The sequence below is a fragment of the Homo sapiens genome, chromosome 2 (assembly GCF_000001405.40).
Source record: "Homo sapiens chromosome 2, GRCh38.p14 Primary Assembly".
NCBI lineage: Eukaryota > Metazoa > Chordata > Mammalia > Primates > Hominidae > Homo > Homo sapiens.
The window spans coordinates 10,875,861-10,885,776 of NC_000002.12; the positions used below are offsets into that span (position 1 = coordinate 10,875,861).

The 9,916-nt window shown below is 47.5% G+C and overlaps 1 long non-coding RNA gene across 1 annotated transcript; it reads left to right on the plus strand.

Moving 5' to 3' along the window:
• The first annotated feature begins 2,406 nt into the window (after positions 1-2,406).
• On the plus strand, positions 2,407-9,258 carry LINC01954 (long intergenic non-protein coding RNA 1954). The gene is made up of 2 exons (NR_110575.1): positions 2,407-2,584; positions 8,974-9,258. It is a non-coding gene; the product is annotated as a long intergenic non-protein coding RNA 1954 (long non-coding RNA).
• The last annotated feature ends 658 nt before the right edge of the window (positions 9,259-9,916 follow it).

Below are 9,916 nucleotides of genomic sequence, written 5' to 3' on the forward strand. Positions count from 1 at the left end.
CAATTCTTCTGCCTCAGCCTCCTGAGTAGCTGGGATTACAGGCATGCATCACCATGCCTGGTTAATTTTTGTATTTTTAGTAGAGATGGGGTTTCTCTATGTTGGTCAGGCTGGCCTCGAACTCCCGACCTTAGGTGGTCCACCCACCTCAGCCTCCCAAAGTGCTGGGATTACAGGCGTGAGCCACCACGCCTGGCCTTTATTTATTTATTTTGAGATGGAGTTTGGCTCTATTGTCCAGGCTGGAGTGCAGTGGCACAATCTTGGCTCACTGCAACCTCAGCCTGCTGGGTTCAAGTGATTCTCCTGCCTCACCCTCCCAAGTAGCTGGGATTACAGGCACGTGCCACCATGCCCAGCTAATTTTGCATTTTTAGTGGAGACAGGGTTTCACCATGTTAGCCAGGCTGGTTTTGAACTCCTGACTTCAGGTGATCTGCCTGTCTCGGCCTCCCAAAGTGCTGGGATTACAGGTGTGAGCCACCATGCCTGGCCTTTCTGTTAATTTAAAGACAAGTGTTAGGAAACTAACTCTGGGATCAGACAAACTTTGGTGTATAATTCAGTTCAGCTAAAGCAAACCACTTCATCTCTCCGATCTTCAGATTCTTCATCTATAAAATGGAAATAACACCTACTTCCTCTTTGTAATAAAAACTCAAGAATTTATTTGGCTTATGTGGTTGCCCAACTAGAGGCAATTTTCCCCAGCTATGCTTATAGCTCGTATAGTCATAAGACTAAGAATTAGCTAATAGAGTGTGACAGAAGCAATCTCTGCAACTTCCAGATCACCGTTTGTTTTTTAAATTAGGAAATTACATGCCTTCCTCCTTTTTCTCTCTCTTTCCTGTGGGTTGAAATGTAGAGGTGATAAAATGAGTGAGTTTTTGTTGTGGAATGAAGATAACACCATAGGGTATTACAAAGCAATAAGACAGGAGGAACTTGAATGTTGGAAGCATTCTTTTTCTTTTCTTTTCTTTTCTTTTTTTTTTTTTTTGAGACAAGGTCTTCTTCTGTAGCCTAGACTGGAGTGCAGTAGCACAATCATAGCTCACTGCAGCCTCAACATCGTGGGCTCAAGTGATTCTCCTGCCTCAGCCTCCACAGTAGCTGGGACTATAGGTGAAAGCCACCATGCCCAGCTAATTTTTTCTATGTTTTATAGGGACAGGGTCTCACTAGATTTCCCGGGCCATTCTTGAATTCCTGACCTCAAGTGATTCTCTTACCTGGGTCTCCCAAGGTGCTGGGATTATAGACGTGACTCACCATGCCTAGCCTGAGTGCTGGAAAAGTTCTGTACTTTGACTTGGGTGGTGGTTACACAGGTGTATACACACATAAAAATTGATTGAGCTATTCTTTTAAGATTTATGTGCCTATTGCATGTAAGTTATACCTCAGCAAGAAAAAAAAGATAGAAGGAAGCTGATTCCTGGAATGCCCTTGTGGAGTGGAAGTCACCTTGGGACTGTTACAAAAGAGAAAAACAAACTCTTATAGTGTTTGGGTCATTGTCTGTAGGGGCGTTTTTTGTTCTAGCCATTTAATGTGTACCTTAATCAATATATTTATTAAGGGTAGGAATTTTTAATTTTAATTTTGACTCCATTACCCCATTACAGAGCTTGGTGAATAGAAGGTACCCAATATCTGTTTAATGAATGCATGTTTTTGTAGATGGCTTTTATCAGCATGTTAGAACATCCAGTATAAATAAATTTAGAAAACAGAAAAAATTACGACATGTAAAGGGAGGGACCTTCTTCCCCGACTTCCCAACCCACCTGACTTCTGAGTACTTCCTTTCAGTGGGATCTGGTGCAGCAGTTTTCAACTTGCTTAAACAAATGACAAGAACGTTCTGAGACAGGAAATGCTATCTGCTCGGCTGATGGTGCCAGCGTGGGGGTGAATGTTAAATGGAGTGCTTGGGGGAGACCCCTGATGCTCATGTCCCCACGACTCAGAATCAGACGCAGAATCACAGTGCTCTAGGTGCTGTTAGGCTCTAGGAACTGGGGGGAACGATCCCATCGCCAACCCTGGAGCAAGGCAGTGTGTTGTAAGAGGGGATGCTGCCGGGAGTGCTCCTGAGTCATTAAGGGAAGGCTGTGAACAGGAGGAGGAAGGGCTGACAACACAGCCCACACCCTGCTGAGCCTCCAAGGGGATGGCTCCCTCGTGCAGTCAGCAAACATTCACTCTGGGAGGACTGGGGGCTCGGCTGCAGAGAGGAGCGGCACACCCACCGCCTCTGTCCTCAAGGAGCTCCCGGTCCAGCTGCCCCCGGACAAATCCTATGTTACCAACAGTATAACAACGCAATTTTATTTACACCGACTAGATGTCCAGCACCTATCAGTAATACGCTATTTTATTTTCACAAACATCTGGCTCATAGATAATGTTTATCGATGAGAAAACAGAAATTTGAAGAGGCAAAGCAAGTTGCCCAAGGCCAAGGGAGAAGGTCAGCGTGAACTGCTACCGCCATGTTGAAGTTCATCTTCTCTTCACTGCGAGAAGCTGCCTGGACACCAGGGTGGAGGAGCTGTCAGGGCCCTCACTGTGGAAGGTGCTGGCAGAGGGTGGGGAGGTGTGGCCTGAGAGGGGCGTCCATAGTCCCTGAACTTGGCCTTCATGAATGAGTGGCGATCCAGTCAGCAGACAAAAGGTGGAATTGGAGTGAGAGTAGGGGGTCATTCTAGACAGCAGGAACAATGTGTGAGAAGGCCCAGAGCAGAGAAGGCAAGGCATGTGGCAGCTTGGTGTCACGGAAGCCTGGGGTGGGCAAGGGGCTGGGGAGGCCTGGGAGTTGAGGCCAGGGAGGCGAGCAAATGTCTGGTGGGGCCTCCCTTTGGGGTGAACCCCTACACTGGTCCAGAGGCAGAGGGTCGGTTGTCTGTCAATAGGATGAAATTCCTGTTAGTCGGGGTGCCCACTCATTCACTGAGCACGAGCAGGGGTCTCTGCGGGGCCTGGTGTTGGCCTGTGGCTTGGTGAGACACCCTCTCTGGAGGGGCACCCAGACTCTGTGGTCCCTGCCTGGCCCCTCCTTCTATGTCACCTTCCTGGGGTACCACAGATGCATGCCAAAGACCCCCACTTCTCAAAGTACGTTTCATGGCACACTGAGTTTTTTTGAGGAAAAAGGTTTGTGGTAAAATAAATGGAGACAAGGGGGTGATTGCCTCCTCCTTCTTGGAACTTCTTGCAGGTTAGCTTGTTCAAGTCTCTGAAAAGTAAAATGGTTATGGACGTTGTGTGTGTGAGTGTCCCAGTGTCCCAGTGTCCTGGGGCTGCTGTAAGAAAGCACCACGCTGGGGCTTGAGCAACAGACATCGATTCTCTCACAGTTCTGGAGGCCGGAAGTCTGAGATCCAGGAATCGGCAGGGCCGTGCCCCATCTGGAGGCCTAGGGAGGGTCCTTCCTGCTCCTCCAGCTGCTGGTGGCTGACAGTCCATGGCGTCTGTGACGTCTGTGGCATCCGTGGCACCTCAGGCTTGCTTCTGTCCTCATGTGTCTCTGTGTGTCTCTCTCCTAAGGACACAGTCACACTGGATTAAGGGCACACCCTAGTGCAGCAGGACATCTTATTTTAACTAATCACATCTTCAGCAAACCTGTTTCCAGTGAAGGTCACCTTCTGAGGTGCTGGTGAGGCAGGAGAATAGGGTTTGGAGGCGGGGAACCTAAGGCCGTTTCAAGCCGACTTCCTAGAACTGAATTGAAAGGAAACACCTAACTTTCCAGGACTAAGTAACAAAAGGACCAGAGGCTACTCCCTGTGCAAAACCCCCACCTTTTCTGCACCACAGATGGGAAATTGGTTTTCCGCAACCAGTCAGACTGATTGCCGGGCCGCTGAGTCTTCCTTTGCATAGAAATGCAACTTTGCAACTTCATCTTAGCCTCTGATTGGTTGCTTTTTGCAGCCAATCAGATGTTTGCACAGGAGCGTGATCTTGGTAACTTCATTTCAGCTTCTGATTGGTTGCAGAAAGCAACCAATTGTGGGCCAGCACTTCATTTACATAATATGATCACCAAGTGGCCAATGGGAAACGTGTAGAGAGTATTTGGACCCTAGAAGATTCCAGATCTGGGCTCTTGAGCTGCTGCTCAGTCCACTCTCACACTGTGGAGTGTACTTTCATTTTCAATAAATCCCTCCTTTCGTTCTCTTGTTGTTTCATTCTTTCTTTGCTTTGCTGGGCGTTTTGTCCAATTCTTCGTTCAAAAAGCCAAGAACCTGGACAGCTTGCCGTCACGACCCTCTAGTGGTAACACTGGGGGTTAGAATCTCAACAAAGCTTTCGGAGGGGGCACGATTCAACCCATGACGCTTCAACCTGGAATTTCCCACAGAAGTCATTTTTTTCCTCAGAACTCTTTCTGAAAATGCCCCCTCCCCACCCGCCCCACCCACCATCCCTCAGACCTGGTGGCTGGAGCAGCTCCCTTTGGGAAATGCTTCCTGTGGTGAACAGGATGGAGCTCCCCATGGGGACAGGGCCGTAGAGGAGGCCTCTAGGGCAGGAAGGGGAGTCCGGCGCCACCTGGGGCCCTGGCAAAGGAGGCGGCCGCAGAACGGGGACACAGGAGGGAGGAGGGTGGGGACCTGTTCATCAAGCCCTCCCTTCCCAGGCCGTCCTGGGCCCAGGGGCTGCCTGGTGGCTTCAAAATGCAGCCAGTGTGGGTTGGGCCGGGTTGGGTCCAGGATGTCAAACTCCCAGGAACTCTGTCTGCCTCATGACCTGGTGTGGAGGCCACCGCTGAGCAACGTCCAGTGTGTCCTGGTCACATCTGGGCCCGCACCACCTCACAGGCTCCCGGTGCGAAGGAGTGGGCGGCCTTTTCAGATTCGCCAGAGCTGGTTTGCGGAAGCTCCCAGAACAGACCACGGTCTGTAACAAGCTTACTTCCTGCCCATGAATTTTTCCCTCGACAGGGCTTACAATTAAGTCCATACCCCCGCCTCCCGCCTGGCTTTCACTTCCTTGCTTTTGGAGAGAAGATGAATGGAAATGTATGACTTTGTCTGTGGTATAAAGACATGGATTCAAGTTCAGGGTTTGCCATGGACCTGCCGTGTGACCTTTGGTAAGATCTTTCACTTCATTTTCACATTTATAAAACAGAAGCAATGATAATACTGGCCCTGCCGGCCTTCCGCATGTGTCTGTGGCTGTGGCGAGTGACACGAGCATGAGAAACAGCATCATGAGCATGATAACAGCCACTTTCCTCATCTCCATTCTGTGCCAGCGACTGTCATAGAGGCAGGGGCTCTAAAAGTTCCTCATCAGGTACAGTGCACGCATGCACCGTGTGTGTGATAGAAATCTTTATTTATAGCCCTCCATACAAAAATATGGCATTTAGTCATGGATTAATCAGCAGAAATTGGTATATATAGTGCTCTTTTTCTCTCATTTTAGTGATAAGCTTTTGCTAAAAAAAAAAAAAAGGAGGAAACCATCACTGAATATGGTAATGATAATACTTAAAAAATTTTAAAGTCAGGTTTGTTGAGGTGTAATTTGCATACTGTGAAGTTTAGTTGGACAGTTTTGTAAGATTTGCAAAATGTATAGAGTTGTGTCAACACCACCACAATCCACAATCCAGACAGAATATTTTCATCACCCCCAAGCGATCACTCTCATCCCGTTTGAACTCAATCACTCTTCCCATCCCCAGCTCCTGGCAACAGTGGCTTAGATTTCTGTCCTTAATGGTTTTGCCTTTTTCTGAGTGGCACATAAAGGCAATCATACAACAGCCTTTTGTATCTGACCTCTTTCACTTAGATTATACCTCTGAGTGTGATCCATGTTGTTGACTGTGTCCGCCATTCCCTCTTTTTCCTTGCCGAGTGGTATTCCCTGGTGTGGATATGCCAGTGTGTTCATTCTTTCACCTGCTGAAGGACATCTGGGCTGTTTCCAACTTGGGTCTATTACAAATACAGCTCTTCTGAACATCTATGCAGAAGTCTTTACATGGACATCTATCTATACATTGTTAACATTTAATTTAATTTAATTTTAAGTTCCAGGATACATGTGCAGGATGTGCAGGTTTGTTACACAGGTAAACATGTGCCATGGTGGTTTGCTGCACCTATCAACCCGTCATCTAGGTTTTAAGACCCGCATGCATTAGCTATTTGTCCTAAGGCTCTCCCTCCTCCTGCCCCCACAACAGGCCCAGTGTGTGTTGTTCCCCTCCCTGACATGGACATCTATATTTTTTCCTCTAGGAGTAGAATGGCTGGATCTTATGGATCTTAACTTTTTTTTTTTTTTTTTTTTTTGAGACTGAGTTTCGCTCTTGTTGCCCAGGCTGGAGTGCAGTGGTGCGATCTCCGCTCACCGCAACCTCCACCTCCTGGGTTCAAGCGATTCTCCTGCCTCAGCCACCCGAGTAGCTGGAATTAGAGAACCGCTCCCCTCCCCAGGACTTTCACCCCACAACTCACAGCCATCAGAAAAGGCAGCTGTGGAACAGCTGTGGAACAGGAGCACTGGCCTGGGAGTCTGTCATCATGTCACCTTTCTGAACTTATTTTTCTTCTCTGTAAACCTGGAATAGTTGTCATCTCTTCCATCATCATTAGGAAAACTAAGCTGGAAACTGCATATAACTTTGAACACAAGGCCTAGCAGAAACTGAGTTCCCTCATAACAGATCACTCCCTCCCTGGGTTGTCTGCGTGATAGAAGTTTATTTCTCTCTTGTTTTTGGATCTTTCCAAAACAAAATAATGCACAGGATTGCTGAGATGGGAACACAGCAATGCAGGGTACAGAGCTGCTTTTGACTTGGGAAACACCAGGAGAACCTCATTTAATGAAATACCCACTAATGTCCACCATGTGTCTAGGTGCTAGGAACACATGGTTATGACATCGGGAGAAGAGGGAGGCTACACTACAATGCTTTGGGCAGGAGTGGGCCAGCAGCTTCCTTTCCATAATAGAATAAAATTCTTAGGTGAGGCAGAAAATGTCTTTCCCAATTCTGTCATGCTTTGCTCTGTCTTAATCTCCATTTTCAGTCCTGTAGGCCAGTCTTAGGTAATCGTTTAATCCTCTCCTGGGAAGGAGAATGGGGATTAACATTTATTGAGTATCTACTGTGTGCTCAGGGAGGGTCATTTCAGTTTCACTTACTTGACTGGGACGTTGGCCAATGAGGAATCTGAGGCCCCAGGAAACAAAGCTATTGTATGGTAGAGTTAAGATTTGAACCTGGATCTGTCTAACTGCACAGTGCTTCAGACCAGTGAGCAGGCCTTATGTTTTCCACAGGCAACTCTGTGGCCTTGACAGCAGGGACCTTATCAGATTCATGTCTGTCTTCTCAGCAGCATCCAGCATAGCACAGCACGCATGGGTTGGGGCAGGGGACTTATCTGATGTCTGGTGGGGCGACAAGGGAGTGGGCAGGTAGATGGATGATCGGATAGAGTGATCAGCATCCTGCACATGAGAGTCCTGCCAACAGCCCCCCAAGAGTCCCCAGGCCGCCGACTGGAACCCGCTGCTCTAAGAACTCAATCCTTTTCCCTTTATGTGTGCAAGAGTAAGTGGGAAGGAGAGGAGATGACAGCAGCAGGTGGGGAAATGGTTCTCTCAACATTCCCCTCCTCTAAATCAGAAGCTCCTGTCCCACCTCCTCAGCCCCTGAGCCTGCTGACCCCAGGCTTTGGCTCTACGGGCTCTGTTCTGCTGGCTGGGGCTGGAAAGGGCTATGTACTATGGTCCGAGAGAAAGTGCTTTCTGAAATTGATGTGGCTTGTGTAGGAAGGAGGTGCACTTTTTAGCCTTTGTCCTGGTTACAGAGACTTGGGTATTTAACTGTGTTCATTTAAAAGTCAATTTACCCCAGGAGATGGGGGAACAGAGTGCTCGAAAGCTCAAATGGCATGATTTTTGCAAAAGCCAGACGCTGGGTAAATCAACCCCGCTCCCATTTTCAAACTATCAAAATCAAGGTCTCTTTGTTAAGTTGTTTATTTGGTACAGACAAGCTGCCAAGACTGCAAATGAGACGGCGCTTGGTTGTTGTTCATTCCTGCTGATGGCTTGGCGAGGCCAATCTTCCTTCTGTGTTGCGAATCCACATGGCTTAACCCCTCCGGTCCTTCCCTCATCACTCTGCAGCCTTTGCCATGAGCATTTCTCGGAGCTGTTGTGAGAACCCAGTGGGTCAGAGGTGACAGCTTTATTAAAGATTAAGCTGTCCTCTCTTCCCTTGGGGCTGGTAATATTTAACTCTTGCTTTGCAAATTGTTTTTTCATAGATTTACACACTCTCCAACAGGATCATCATTGCTTGAGGGCAGGTATCACACTGTACACTTTCCACAAGGCCTTCACTGTCTTACACAAGCATTCAATAAATATTTGTGGGTTTAGGGTGCATGCGTGTGTATGCACACATGTGTACACATGTGCAATGTTACTGGAGATGGAAGAGTTACACAGAAAACCCCAGGGAATCAGTCAGCAGGCAATTTTAAGCCCAGCTGCTTGGGGGGTGGTGGGGGTGGTTGATAACAGGACAAAGTCCGCAATTATCATTTAGGGGACTTTTTGTAATGGAATCCTTTAGAGAATCAGCTCAGATGACATATTATTCTAACCCCAAACTCAAGATTTTCTCTCTGGCTGCCTGTAGAAAAAGAGGTGTGCATTTGCATGGGAGGATAGCTGTTCCTGCAAACATTTATTCAAGGACAGGAAAAGGCAGGGCCCCTGAGAACAAGAAAAAATCAGTGGGTGGTTGAACCACGCAGTGGGAGGAGTGGGGTTTCTGAAGCCGTCAGGGCAGCATACAAAACCAGGCTCTGCTGCTTGCAGTGAATCTCTCCTCCATTGTAACTGAGATACGTATATCCTCTTTTTTCTTTCTGCTGTTTCTGTGTTAACGGCAAATCCACTTCTTAATTTCAGGAAGGTCCACAGAAAACATCCTGGGGTCCTGAGCTGAAGTGTGATGGGAGGAGTCCTCTGTATCTCAGTCTGATCCTGGTCTCCCTCTCGGCCATGGTCTCACACTAGTGCTGCTGGGAAACCATCCCTCACATCCAGTCCTGGCATCGGGCAGTGACTCTGGTCCAACTGTTGTCCAACTCAAGGGTTTAGCTGCTTAGATTTTCCTAAAACTTGAATTTCATTTTCCTCTAGCCATGGAATACAGATTAATCCTTTACAATTAAAATCCAAGTTCAGATTTTATTTGTTGTGGTTTTTAATTAAAATCTCACCAGCACTTTGTGGATTTTTTTTTTCTTAGAAAGGCAAACACACTGTGCGTATCAGTCAGCCTGGACTGCCATCACAAAATACCATAGACTGTGTGTCTTAAAACAACAGAAATGTATTTTCTCACAGTTCTGGAGGCTGGAAGTTCAAGGTCAATGTTCTGGATGATTTGGTTTCCAGTGAGGCCTCTCTTTCTTGCTTGCAGATGGCTGCCATTCTTCTGTGTCCTGTAGGGAAGTTCAAACTTTTCCTCTGAAGGTTTGAACAAACTGACAATATGCAGACTAATAGGAGGAAGAAAGGCATTCAAAGTTGCTAATGTGCATAAGCACAAGGCCACAGAAAATATGAGATTCAAAGGAGCACCAGGCGCCTGAGGCTTAAATACCCTCCTCATAAGGGAGAGGGAAATGGGGTTGTAGGCAATTGCGAGGGGCAGTAAATGACTTTCAGTAAACGCATGAGCCCAAAGAACAATGTCCTGGGACAAAGTTCCCCTCTGCTCTGGAGGACGTGGTGGGAAGGTGAGGGGTGGAACTTCACTGTGCACAAAGGTTGTCTAATTATGCAGATAGAGTCTCCCAGGTGATGTCTCCAGCTGCCCTCAGAAGAGTAGATGAAATTCTCTCGG